Source organism: Homo sapiens, chromosome 15 (genome assembly GCF_000001405.40).
Source record: "Homo sapiens chromosome 15, GRCh38.p14 Primary Assembly".
NCBI classification, from domain to species: Eukaryota; Metazoa; Chordata; class Mammalia; order Primates; family Hominidae; genus Homo; species Homo sapiens.
Window position 1 is genome coordinate 84,728,900 of NC_000015.10, and position 14,000 is coordinate 84,742,899.

Consider the following 14,000-nt stretch of genomic DNA (forward strand, 5'->3'; position numbering starts at 1 on the left):
TGCCCTGGCCTCCTAAAGTGCAAGGACTATAGGCGCGAGCCACTGTGCCCAGCAGTACTTTTTTGTTTTTTAAATACAAAACAAAAAGAACACATGGCATTGGTCACATGACATGGGCTTATGCTAGTGGACTGCTCTAAAACCATCAATTTAGAAAAACAATGCTCATTAACTACTATTCTCAAGTACAACTCTGTTCCTCTTCTTTTACTATAGATTCAAGGAATACATGTATGGGTTTGTTACATGGATATATTGCATAATGGAGAGGTTTAGGATGCTAGTGTACCCATTGCCCAAATAGTAAACATGGTCCCAGTAGGTAGTTTTTCAACTCTCATCTCCCTTCCTCATTTTTCTCATCTCTCCCCGCTTTTAGAGGCTCCATTGTCTATTATTTCCATCTTTCTATCCGTGTATGCCCATTGTTCAGTTCCCACTTGTAAATGAGAACATTTACTATTTGATTTTCTGTTTCTGAGTTATTTCACTTAGTATAATCCTCCCAAAGTGCTGGGATTACAGGTGTGAGCCACTGTACCCAGCCAATTAAATTTATTTTTTGTTGAGATGGGGTCTCCCTGTGTTGCCCAGGATGATCTCAAACTCCTGGGCTTAAGCAATCCTCTCACCTCAGCCTCCCAAAGTGCTGGGATTACAGGCATGAGCCACCATGCCTGGCTTAATAATATCCATTCTGACTGGTGTAAGATGGTATCTCATTGTGGTTTTAATTAGCATTTTTCTGATGATTGGTGATGTAGAGTATTTTTTCATATGTTGTTGGTTGCTTGTGTGTCTTCTTTTGAGAAATGTTTGTTTGTGTTCTTTGCCTACTTTTTAAGGAGGTTATTTGTTTTTGTCGTTGAGTTGTTTGAGTTCCTTATAGTCTCTGGATATTAGTCCTTTGTCAGATGAATAATTTGCAAATATTTTCTCCCATTTTGTAGGTTGTTTGTTTGCTCTGTTGATTATTTCTTTTGCTGTGCAGGTAATACTTTTGATATATTGAGAAAAGTATATTATCAAAATTAACTTCATTTGTTTTTTATATTACATATTTATTTATTTTTTAGAGACAGAGTCTAACTCTGTTGCCCAGGCTGAAGTGCAGTGATGTGATTAAAGCTCATTGCAGCCTCAGGCCCAGCCTCCCAAATAGCTGGGTCTACAGGCACATGCCACCAGGTCCAACGAGTTAAAAAAAATTTTTTTTTTTTTTAGACAGGGTCTTGCTCTATTGCATAGGCTGGAGTGCAGTGGTGCAATCACAGCTCACTGCAGTCAATCTCCCGGGCTCAAGAAATCCCAAGTAGCTGGGACTACAGGTGCGCACCACCACACCTAAGTAATTTTTTGTATTTTTTGTAGAGATGGGTTTTCCCCATGTTGCCCAGGCTGCTTTTGAACTCCTGAGCTCAGTTAATCCACCTGCCTTGGCCTCAAAAAGTGGCGGAATTACAGGTGTGAACCATTATGCCTGACCTAATTTTTAATTTTAATTTAATTTAATTTAATTTTTTTTTTTTTGAGACAGAGTTTTGCTCTTGTTGCCCAGGCTGGAGTGCAATGGTGCGGTCTCAGCCTCCTGGGTTCAAGTGATTCTTCTGGCTCAGCCTCTTGAGTAGCTGGGATTACAGACATGTGCCACCACATGGGCTAATTTTTGTATTTTTAGTAGAGACAGGGTTTCACCATGTTGGTCAGGCTGTTCTTGAACTCCTGATCTCAGGTGATCCACCCGCCTTGGCCTCCCAAAGTGCTGGGATTACAGCCATGAGCCATGCCCGGCCAATTTTTTTTTTTTTTAAAGATGGAGTCTCATTCTGTTGCCCAGGTTGGAGTGCAGTGATATGATCTCGGCTCACTGCAACCTCTGCCTCCCAGGTTCAAGCAACTCTCCTGCTTCAGCCTCTTGAGTAGCTGGGACTACAGGCATGCCCCACCATATCTGGCTAATTTTTTGTACTTTTGGTAGAGATGGAGTTTCCCATCTTGGCCAGGCTGGTCTCGAACTCCTCCCCTCAGGTGATCTGCCCGCCTTGGCCTCCCAAAGTGCTGGGATTACAGGCGTGAGTCACGGCACCTGGCCTCACTTTCATCATATTTTTATACCAAGTATGTTGTGATAAACAGGATTTTCCTGAGAAATAGGTGGGCTTGGCATGTAGAGGTTGATTTGCAAGCTGAGTCAGATGGCGACCTCCTTTTTGCTCAGATCTGCTTTTCCAGTACTTTCCTGGTCTACTAGATGCCCTTGAACCTTGGCATTTTTTCAACACCTTTTGGTGTCACCGCTGGGGTTAGAGCATTGGTATAGCAGCAGGAGTGACCCCTCACCATGTCCTAGTCCTTGGGTCCTGTTTGTCCAATTTGCTCACCATGGCTGTCAGTTTTTATGTCTCTGGTTCTAGCCTGTGACCTGCCCACGAAACTGTACAGTTCCCTTTGCTTTATGATTTGGTTTTGGTTTTTTCTGCATTTTTTGCATGTGAGAGTTTGGCAAATATAAATGAGGTCTGTTCTTTTTTTTTTTTTTTTTTTTTTTTGTGAGACGGAGTCTTGCTTTGTCGCCCAGGCTTGAGGGCAGTGGCGCAATCTCAGCTCACTGCAAACTCTGCCTCCCGGGTTCACGCCATTCTCCTGCTTCAGCCTCCTGAATAGCTGGGACTACAGGCACCCGCCACCACGCCCAGCTAATTTTTGGTATTTTTAGTAGAGACGGGGTTTCACCGTGTTAGCCAGGATGGTCTTGATCTCCTGACCTCGTGATCCGCCCGCGTCGGCCTCCCAAAGTGCTGGGATTACAGGCGTGAGCCACCGCGCCTGGCCTAGGTCTGTTCTTTAGACAGATATTTTGAAATCACTCATCAGAAAATATTGATAGATGAGACATACATCACAAAAATCCTTGTAGTTGCAATAAACAACTTGCCAATATATGCAAACTATTTTCCCCTCCATTCTCTTGAATTAAGGGAGTATTTAAGGGAGGATTGATTCTCCTATGAAGCAACCATTTGGATAGAGGACTGGGTGAATCAATTAGCCACACCACTGTTCTAAATACTCAGCTTTAACATTCTTGGCCATGTCCAGTTCATTCTCTGACCACAAAAGTTCAGCTTGGTTCTTTGCCTGAATTTTCTTCTATGTAAAGTCAGACTTCCTGTATCATGCCAATTTTTTGCATTGGGTTTTTTTTTTTCTTTTTTTTTTGGAGACAGAGTCTCACTTTATTGCCCAGACTGGAGTGCAGTGGCACAATCTCAGCTCACTGCAACCTCTCCCTCCCGGGCTCAAGCAATTCTCCTGCCTCAGCCTCCCACATAGCTGGGATTACAGGCATCTGCCACCACGCCTGGCTATTTTTTTGTACATATATACATATATTCCTTGAAATGGAGTTTCACTCTTGTTGCCCAGGCTGGAGTGCAATGTCATGGTCTCGGCTCAGTGCAACCTCTGCCTACTGGGTTCAAGTGATTCTTCTGCCTCAGCCTCCCAAGTAGCTGGGATTACAGGCACCTGCCACCACACCCAGCTAATTTTTTAAATTTTTTTATTTTTAGTAGTGACAGAGGTTTCACTACGTTGAGCAGGCTAGTCTTGAACTCTTGACCTCAAAGTGATCCATCCACCTCAGCCTCCAAAAGTGCTGGGATTACAGGCATGAGCCATCATCCCCAGCCTGCCTTTTTTTTTTTTTTTAAAGGTGCTTGGTCATGTAAACCGATCATGCCAACTTAAAAAAAATCTATATGCTTTCAGCCAAGCATGGTGGCTCACGCCTGTAATCCCAGCACTTTGGGAGGCTGAGGTGGGAAGATCTTTTGAGCTCAGGAGTTCAAGACTCTCCTGAGCAACATAGTGAGAACCCATCTCTACTAAAAATGTCAAAAATTAGCTTGGTGTGGTGGTACACATTGGTAGTCGCAGCTACTTGGGAGGCTGAGGCAGGAGGATCACTGGAGCCCAGTAGTCTGAGGTGGCAGTGAGCTGTGTTTGCACCACTGCACTCCAGCCTGGGTGACAGAGCAAGACCCTGTCTCAAAAGAAATTTAAAAAATTGGCCAGGCGTGGTGGCTCACCCATATAATCTCAGCACTTTGGGAGGCCAAGGTGGGTGGACCACTTGAGGTCAGGAGTTCGTGACCAGCCTAGCCAACATGGTGAAACCCCGTCTCTATTAAAAATGCAAAAAAATTAGCCGCTCATGGTGACGGGTGTCTGTAATCCCAGCTTTTCGGGAGGCTGAGGAATGAGAATCGCTTGAACCTGGGAGGCAGAGGTTGCGGTGAGCTGAGATCGTGCCATTGCACTCCAGCCTGGGCAACAGAGTAAGACTCCATCTCAAAAACAAAACCAAAAACAAATAAATCAAAAGAAATTTTTAAAAATCTATATGCTTATATATTCGTGTGGGAAGGAGAATAATTCTAAATAATAAATGAACATAAATCATTAGTATATATGTTTCTTCCAATCCTTTCTTCCTTCCTCGGTGCGGACAGAAGTATCCCCTCTCCCTCAAAGTGCTAACATTTCTGCTTGTCTCTGGTATTAGGCAGGCAAGCTTTGGTGTTTTGGAGTCATATGACCTGGGCTCAAATCCTAACTCTGCCATTGACTAGCAGTGTGATCTTGGGCGAATGACTTAGCTTCTCTGAGCCTCAGTTTCCTCCTCTGTAAATTGGGAATAACATATTCTTATGGAAAATGTCTGGCCCACAGAAGCTAATTACAATAGTATTATGCTGGCATCATACTCCAGTTGACTTTTTTTTTTTTTTTTTTGAGATAGCGTCTTGCTCTGTCACCCAGTCTGGAGTCCAGTGCCCAGCTAATTTTTGTTTTGTTTTGTTTTGTTTTTTGTATTTTTAGTAGATGCAGTTTTGCCATGTTGGCCAGGCTGGTCTTGAACTCCTGGCCTCAAGTGATCAGCTCACCTCGGCCTCCCAAAGTGCTGGAATTATAGGTGTGAGCCACTGCTCATGGCCTCCAGCTAAGTTTTTGAAGCCCTATTCCTCCCTCTCCTGCCAGCTCTACAACTGCTGCCTTTACCTTAGAAGAAGGAAGAAGGAAGAAGAGAAGGAAAAGGAGGAGGAGAAGGGGAAGGAGAAGGAGAAGGAGAAAAAAGAAGAAGAAAAGAAGAAGAAGAAGAAGAAGAAGAAGAAGAAGAAGAAGAAGAAGAAGAAGAAGAAGAAGAAGAAGAAATAGCAGTAGTACAGCTTTTCTGACCTTTAGAAAGAAATATACCTCATTTCACTCTGTTATTCTTTCTGGTTAATGTCTTACTTTTCCCTTTCATTGCAAAGTCAGTGTTCTCAGATTGCATGTGGTTTACTGCCTCACTGTTCTTTCTCCCTTTTCTTCTCTGCCATGAGTCACCTGCTGTGACACTTTAGTGACCCTTAAGATACTTCAGTAAAGACCAGTGGGTTGGCAAATCCAGCAAATCCCCCCCCCGCTTTTTTTTTTTCTGAGAGAGAGTCTCACTCTGTTGCCCAGTCTGGAGTGCAGTGGCGTGATCTTGGCTCACTGCAACCTCTGCCTCCCAGGTTCAAGCAATTCTCCCTGCCTCAGCTTCCTAAATAGCTGGGATTATAGGTGCCTACCACCATGCCCGGCTAATTTTTGTATTTTTTAGTAGAGATAGGGTTTCACCACGTTGGCCAGGCTGGTCTTGAACTCCTGACCTCAGGTGATCGCCTGCCTTGGCTTCCCAAAGCAGTGGGATTACAGGTGTGAGCTACCGTGCCCGGCCAACTCTTTCTTTTCTTTTTTTATTTGAGATAGGGTCTCACTTTGTCGCCCAGGCAGGAGTGCAGTGGCACGATTATGGTTCACTGCAGCCTTCACCTGCTGGGCTCAAGCAATCCTCCCACCTCAGCCTCTCAAATAGCTGGGACTACAGGCATGTGCCACAATGCCCAGCTAATTTTTTTATTGAGACTGGGTTTCTCCATGTTGCCCAGGCTGGTCTTGAACTCCTGGGCTCCAGCAATCCACCTGCCTTGACCTCCCAAAGTGTTTGGATTACAGGCGTGAGCCACAATGGCCAGCCTCCCCTGTCTCTATTCTTCCGGATTTCACCACTGTGACATTCTGCACTCACCACTTCCCCCACCCCACCTTTTTTTTTTTTTTAATGCTTTTCTCCTGTAGCTCCCATGACCACCAGAAGTTACCCAACCAGGCAGATCAGTATCCCTTATCAGCTCACCAGTCCTGAATAATCCCTGACATTTGCATCTTCCTAGATCCCCTCTTTGAGACAGTGTGTTACAACTTTTCCTTTTTCCTCACCCCTCCCCCCTTGGTGACATTCCTTCCCTCTTGCCTGCGGTTACTTCAGAGTCAGCACCTGCACCCACACTTGACTCCTCCCCTCCAGCTCACAAGCGGAAGTATCTTCCTAGCTAAAGCCAGCCTCTCTGCGTTTGCTCTCGATCTCTCCCCTCCCACCATTTGGCCCCCCTTAGGGGACAGAACAGATCATGACTGATGCACCTTCAGCCTCTCCTGCTTTACTTTAAAATCTTGTCATCCTTTAAAATTCTTCCTTGCCCTCATCCGCCCTCCGCATAGTTACTGCCCTCTCTCTCCTCCCTCATTTCTGCCATCAAGCCCAAGCTCTCATGAAGCATTCATTTAATCTTCACAGCAGCCCATGAGGATGGTGTCAGTATTGTCCCTATAAAACAGAAGTGGAGTACAGTTGCTTTATTAAACAAGGTCACCCGGCAGGGGTTTGAAGGCAGAGAACTGGGCTTAGGGTCTGTGCCCTTGACCACTATGTCATACCATAATGCATGCCTCATACTGGATGGTGTCTGTTCCCAGCACTCAGCTCAGTGCCTTGCACATACATAGTAGGGGATTAATAAATATGTCTGACTAAATAAATACATGCTGCAAGTTCTTATTCTTTCACTCTTAGAATGACTCACTAGGCTGGGCACAGTGGCTCACGCCTGTAATCCCAGTACTTTGGGAGGCTGAGGCGGGCGGATCATGAGGTCAGGAGATTGAGACCTTCCCGGCCAACATGGTGAAACCCTGCCTCTACTAAAAATGCAAAAATTAGCTGGGTGTGGTGGCACGTGCCTGTAATCCCAACTACTCGGGAGGCTGAGGCATGAGAATCGCTTGAACCCAAGAAGTGGAGGTTGCAGTGAGCTATCATGCCACTGCACTGTAGCCTGGCGACAGAGCAAAACTCTGTCTTAAAAAAAAAAAAAAAAAAAAAAGACACTAATCCAGGGATTCTCAAAAAATGTAGGGGCTTAGGTTTATAGCTACTTTTCTGAAAGAAGCCACAGTTCTCATGAGTTTGTCATAGGAGTCTGTGTCCATACCAAGTTAATAACTTTTTTTTTTTTTCTTTTGAGACAGGGTCTCACTCGGTCAACCTCCTGGGCTCAAAGGATTCTCCCAAGTAGCTGGGACTACAGCTGTGCGCCACCACACCTGGCTAATTTTTTTTTTTTTTTGTATTTTTTTGTAGAGATGCGGTTTTGCCATGTTGCCCAACCTGGTCTTGAACTCCTGGCCTCAAGTGATCTGCCTGTTTTGGTTTCTCAAAGTGCTAGGACTACAGGTGTGAGCCACCGCATTCGGCCACAACTGCTTGATTCATTCATTTTTCTGTCTCCAGTTTCATTTTCCCCCTTCTCCTCCGCCTCACATCCTGTACAATGCCAGTAGATGACTAGATTGTCAATGTCTCATTTTAATTCTGTTGCTGGTAAAAACATAAGAATAGGCCAGGTGGCACAGTGGCTCATGCCTGTAATCCCAGCACTTTGGTAGGCTGAGGCGGGCAGATCACCTGCAGTCAGGAGTTCAAGACCAGCCTGACCAACATGGTGAAACCCTATCTCTACTAAAAATACAAAAATTAGCCAGGTGCAGTTGCACTCACTTGTAATCCCAGCTGGTAGGAAGGCTCGGGTGGGAGGATCACTTGAAGCTGGGAGGCAGAGGTTTCAGTGGGCCAAAATCACATCACTGCACTCCAGCCTGGGCAACAGAGTGAGACTCTGTCTAAAACAAACAAACAAACAAACAAACAAATATATATATATATAAATATGAATAATTCATACATATATGAATAAATAATTTTCTCTACCTAAAAAGTCTTGAATGCCCTCACCCCACTGCCTCCAACATAAAAATCAAACACTCTGGCCCAATAGCCAAGGCTTTCAGTAATCAAAGCCCAACACACTTTACTAGTACTCCCATTTTTCTCCTGCTTGAATTCTCTGCCCCAGGCAAACCAAAGTCTTCTAACTTCAAAGCCTATGTTCTAACTCGTCTTTCAGCAGTTCATTCAACAATAATGTATTTCATTCCTGATCTGAACCAGGCATTATGCTAGGGGTGGGAATACACAAATGAATACAATACAGTCTTTACCCTCGAGAGACTATCAATCTAATTTGGGAGAGAGATGTGAAAACAAAAATCTAAAGACATGGAATGACAAATTGTCCATGGGAGTTATTCTTGCCTGGAGGTGGGGTGGAGCTGAGAGTAAAGGAGACTTTTCTTTCTATGTTCAACATGTCTGCACTCTTTACCTGTTTCTTTTATAACATGCATGCTTTACTTTTGTAACCAGGGGAAAAAAATCACATTACATGAAAATTATGATTAATTCAATTCTGAACACTTGAGTTCAAAGAAAAAGCCCATAACTGTCAAAAACATAGTAAAATTAAGGAAGAAAGGACAATGAACCAATAGAAAAAAGTGGACAAAGCTATGAGAAGGCATTTCTCAGAATATGAAACATTTATGGTCAATAAACATATAAAGATATATTCAACTTCATTAATCATCAGAGAGGTACAAGTCAAAACCACAGTGAGATTCCATTTGATGTCTATTTGAGTGGCAAAAATGAAGAAATCTGACAATAGCTTGCATTGGAGAGGATGTGGATCAAGAGAATCTCATATACAATGTTGTTAGAAGTGTAAATTGGTTTAAAAAAATCAAACCAGAACAAAACAAAACCCCAAAACCACTTTGGTAAACAACTGGAAATTATCTTGTGAAGCTGAACATTCACAATAGAATTGTGACCACCAATTCTATTTCTATGTAAATAAGAAAAAGAAATTCTCGCATTGGCCGGGCGCGGTGGCTCACGCCTGTAATCCCAGCACTTTGGGAGGCCGAGGCGGGCGGATCACGAGGTCAGGAGATCCAGACCATCCTGGCTAACATGGTGAAACCCTGTCTCTACTAAAAATACAAAAAATTAGCTGGGCGTGGTGGCGGGCGCCTGTAGTCCCAGCTACTCGGGAGGCTGAGGCAGGAGAATGGCGTGAACCCGGGAGGCGGAGCTTGCAGTGAGCTGAGATTGCGCCACTGCACTCCAGCCTGGGCGACAGAGCGAGACTCCGTCTCAAAAAAAAAAAAAAAAAAAAAGAAATTCTCGCATTTGAGCAGCGTTGGGTTTTACATGAAAGTTTTTGGTAGCACTTTTGCAATAACAGAAATCTGCAACAACCCAATGCTCAATATTGGGAAATCGGGTGTATTAGTTTGGGTTCCCCAAAAGCAGAGCCTGAGACAAGGACTTGGGTGCAGGTTGTGTATTTGGGAATTGATGATGTGTGTGGAGGACAACAGGTCTAACGGAGAGGAACGAGTGAGGTAGGGTAGGAGGGAAAGCCAGCGCAGGGGGCGTGATTGATTTTTGGAGTCCTCTGAAAAGTGTAAAAAATGCCTCCTAGAATTGTCCATCTGAAGGATAGGAGACTGGGGCATTTATTCCTTGGCTCATACCTGCCACTGGTTGAAGGTTGTGTTAATTCTCTTTACTTTCAGACTACGCCTGTGAGAGGGCTGAGTAGGCTCTTATGGCTTTGAAAAGGCCTTGAAACAGAAATTGGAGAGGCCCAAGACCTGACACTTGCAGCGGAAATTGTAAGCGAAGGCTCCCATGAAACTGGCCACCATATATTCAGGGCTAAGAGGCCAAGGATAAGAATACAGGCCACCAAGAGTTTCTGTTGCATGGGAAAAATGAAAGTTAGTATAGTCACACATTAGAATTGTCTATAGCAGCCGCGAGAAATAAATGCAACTATATGCATCAAGCCTGAGATGAATTTTAACAATATAACACAAAAAGTGAAAAAGAAATCCCAGGATATTACATAGGAAATGACACTGTTTTAGTAAAGAAAACAAGAACTAAAATTAACGATATATGTTTTGGGAACATGTATGCATGTATCTGTGTGTGTGTGTGTGTGTGTGTGTGTGTATGTATGTATACAAATATATATGACTTACTGTACCCAACTGGTTTTTTAGTTTTCAAAAATTTATGTGTGTGTATGTATATATACACACGTATACAAATTCTGCTGGAATGCAATGGTGTGCTCACAGGCCTTTTAATTTTTTTTTAAGAGATGGAGGGGGTCACACTTTGTTGCCCAGGCTGGACTTGAACTCTTGGTCTCAAGTGATTCTCCTGTCTCAGCTTTCCAAGTAACGGAGATTATAGGCATATGCCACTGTGCCCATTTTAATTTTTTTTTTTTTTTCTGGGACAGAGTCTAGCTCTGTCATCCAGGCTGGAGTACAGTGGCGCGATCTCGGCTCATGGCAACCTCCGTCTCCTGGGTTCAAGCAATTCTCCTGCCTCAGCCTCCCATGAAGCTGGGATTACAGGTGTGCACCACCATGCCCAGCTAATTTTTGTATTTTTAGTAAAGATCACATTGGCTAGGCTGGTTTCAAACTCCTGACCTCAGGTGATCCACCTGCTTGGGCCTCCCAAAGTGCTGGGATTACAGGCATGAGCCACTGTGCCTATTCCCCATTTTACAATTTTTTATTTTTATTTTATTTATTTTATTTTTTATTTTTTGAGATGGAGTTTCTCTCTTGTTGCCCAGGCTGAAGTGCAATGGCGCGATCTCGGCTCACCACAACCTCTGCCTCCCGGGCTCAAGCGATTCTCCTTCCTCAGCCTGTAATACCGAGTAGCTGGTATTACAGATATGTGCCACCACACCCGGCTAATTTTGTATTTTTAGTAGAGATGGGGTTTCTCCTTGTTGGTCAGGCTGGGCTCAAACTCCTGACTTCAGGTGATCCGCCTGCCTTGGCCTCCCAAAGAGCTGGGATTACAGGTGTGAGCCATCGCACCTGGCCTATTTTACAATTTTTAATAAATTTTTTAAATAAAAGTATTTTTGCTGGGTACAGTAAGCTCACACCTATAATCCCAGCACTTTGAGAGGCCAAGGCAGGAGGATTGTTTGAGGCCAGGAATTTGAGACCAGCCTGGGCAACATTTTTGTAGAGAGAACTGTCTCTACAAAAATAAAATTTAAAATGAATAAATTTAAAGACAAACAAACAAGAATTAGCTGTGCATGGTGGTGCAAGCCAGTGGTTCCAGCTACTCAGGAGACTGAGGTGGGAGGATCACCTGAGCCCGGGAGGTTGAGGCTGCAGTAAGCCATGATTGCACCATTGCACTCCAGCCTGGGTGACAGAGCAAGACATTGTCTCTAAATACATAAATACACACACACACACACACACACACACGTACGTATAAATACATTAAGAACAAGAAAATGATAAACACAAGATTAGGCACTGGGTAGGGGGATATGTATAAGTAGTCAATTCAGCCACTGCAGCCTTGAACTCCTGGGCTCAAGCAATCCTCCTGCTTCATCCTCCCAAGGACCACAGGCATGTGCCCCTATGCCTAGGTTTTTTGTTTGTTTGTTTGTTTGTTTTTTGTAGAGACAGGGTCTCTATGTTGCCCAGCCTGGTCTCAAACTCCTGGCCGCCAGCAATCCTCCTGCCTCGGTGTCCCGAAGTGCAGAGATTACAGGCATTAGCCACTGTGCCTGGCCAAGGAGGTTAATTTTGTTCCCTCCTAAATCCCCAGGGCCTAACAGTTCCTGGCACATGATAGGCACCAAACATTTATTTGTGTAATGCATGTAATTTAGCTAGGAAGAAGAAATATAGGCTAAGAGCCAATTGTGGAAGAATTTTTAATGCTCCAGTTCAACTCAACTCAGACATATGTCCTCTTAATTTCTTCCCTAGCTCAGACTCCAGCTCAGTATTTAACCAAACAATAAAATGGTCTCATTTCTGGCCCATTTCTGGCCCTCGTCCTCATCAGTTACTCTTTTCTGCCCCTTCCACCTGTCTTACTTGCCCTCTTGCTACCTTAGCTTTTTATCTCTAGAAGCCTTGGTTTTCCAGGTTCCCTTAAGGCCCTTGGCTACATGCTTTGGCAGTTTCCACACTGTCAGATGATCACACACCTGCTAGGTATTCTTGCCTTTGCTCCTACCGATCCACCCTTCACCCTTTTGCACTCTGCTCTTTACCTGCAGAGGTGGACTTTGAAAGCAGCACCATCTGGGTTCCTTGCTTGTAGGCTTCCTGCTGGCTCAGCCAGTGGGAGGTACTGAAGGAGACCTGAGAGAAAGAAGAGAAGTATGGCTCTTCTTTCCTCCAAGCTCCTGTTGGCTGTCCTTCTCCTACATAAGGACTGGTAACTGTTCCATCTCTTTGCCCCTTCGGGCCAGTGGTTGATAATGGCTTCCCAGTAGATGCTAGACCTGGGGTGCTTCACTGTCCCTTTTTGGTTTCCCTCAACCCTGCTTACATTTCTGTACACTGTCCCTTTACTAACTCTCCTCGGATACACATTTTGAGCGGTTCATCTGTTCCCTGCTGATCTTAGTTGATACAAAAGCAAAAATATACAATAGTATCTTTTTAAGAAAATTGATTCACAAAACTCACCCCTTTAAAGCATACAATTTAGTGGTTCTTAGCATGTGCCAGCAAACTGTATCTTTTTTCATTTCATATGTAATCAAATGTTTCTTCGTGTCAATAAGTTATACGTTTCACATCACCAGTTACTTAACCATTCATAATGTTTCTAAATTTTCACTATCATTCAATAAGTACTATGGTAAATATTGTTGTGTGTGTGGCTGTTTTCTTTTGGGGAGTAGTATTTCTCTTTTTTTTTTATTTTATTTTTGAGGGGAGTCTCTCTCTGTCGCCCGGGCTGGAGTGCAGTGGCATGATCTCAGCTCACTGCAACCTCTGCCTCACAGGATCAAATGATTCTCCTGCCTCAGCCTCCCTAGTAGCTGGGATTACAGACATGCGCCACCATGCCCAGCTAATTTTTTTATTTTTTATTTTTTGGTAGAAACAGGATTTCACCATGTTGGCCAGGCTGGTCTTGCACTCCTGACCTCAGGTGATCCACCCGCCTCAGCCTCCCAAAGTGCTGGGATTATAGGCATGAGCCACCGCGCCCGGCCTCAAATTGCTTTTTTAAAGGATAGCAATGTACCCTGCCACGGTTTTCTCTTGACTGTACCAATTGCATTATCTCTTTAGCATTGAAAGTACATAAGGTATGTATACTTTGCTAATGTAGTAAGTAGTCTTAACATTTGAACTTCTTTGATAGCCATACCAATTCTAAGCCATTTAAAGCTGTTTTTAGCTAAATGGGACTGGAGGGTCAGTGATTTTGAGGGCGTGGGGTGGAGAGAAGGTTAGAAGGATTTGCTCTCCTACTTTCTTCCTTCTTTCTTCCAGACTCTTCACCTTGTTTATACATCAGTTTCCTCCTCTTCATTAAGCTATGCCTCTTCAGGGCCTAGCATAGTGTCTGGCACTGTCCAGAATATCAATAAACATTTATGAAATGGATAAATGATGGAAGAAGAAAGTTATGAAATATGCACAGTGTTGGTCATCCTAGCATATGAGCATTAACTGTGCATTAACTGCTCTCCTTCTAGTGGACTCTCCAGAACCAACACTTTTCATTCCCTTCTAATAAATATATTGCTAATGCTCAAGGACAGTTAAATGCTTTGGACTAGTGGGTTACTTTCTGGAATACCTACATACTCATTCCTGCCAGTTGAGCTACATGCCTAATAACAGTCTGCTGT

At 43.9% G+C, this 14,000-nt stretch overlaps 4 annotated features.

The window, feature by feature from the left end:
• Positions 4,727-5,630: an enhancer, noted in NCBI's record as "NANOG-H3K27ac hESC enhancer chr15:85276857-85277760 (GRCh37/hg19 assembly coordinates)". NCBI's record gives its function as "activates a minimal SCP1, AML or CMV promoter by ChIP-STARR-seq in naive H9 embryonic stem cells {active_cell/tissue: H9 hESC(naive)}" and the evidence as "EXISTENCE:reporter gene assay evidence [ECO:0000049][PMID:30033119]".
• Positions 6,137-6,196: an enhancer, noted in NCBI's record as "active region_9988". NCBI's record gives its function as "activates an Ori minimal core promoter by ATAC-STARR-seq in GM12878 lymphoblastoid cells {active_cell/tissue: GM12878}" and the evidence as "EXISTENCE:reporter gene assay evidence [ECO:0000049][PMID:35858748]".
• Positions 6,217-6,306: an enhancer, noted in NCBI's record as "active region_9989". NCBI's record gives its function as "activates an Ori minimal core promoter by ATAC-STARR-seq in GM12878 lymphoblastoid cells {active_cell/tissue: GM12878}" and the evidence as "EXISTENCE:reporter gene assay evidence [ECO:0000049][PMID:35858748]".
• Positions 7,587-7,646: an enhancer, noted in NCBI's record as "active region_9990". NCBI's record gives its function as "activates an Ori minimal core promoter by ATAC-STARR-seq in GM12878 lymphoblastoid cells {active_cell/tissue: GM12878}" and the evidence as "EXISTENCE:reporter gene assay evidence [ECO:0000049][PMID:35858748]".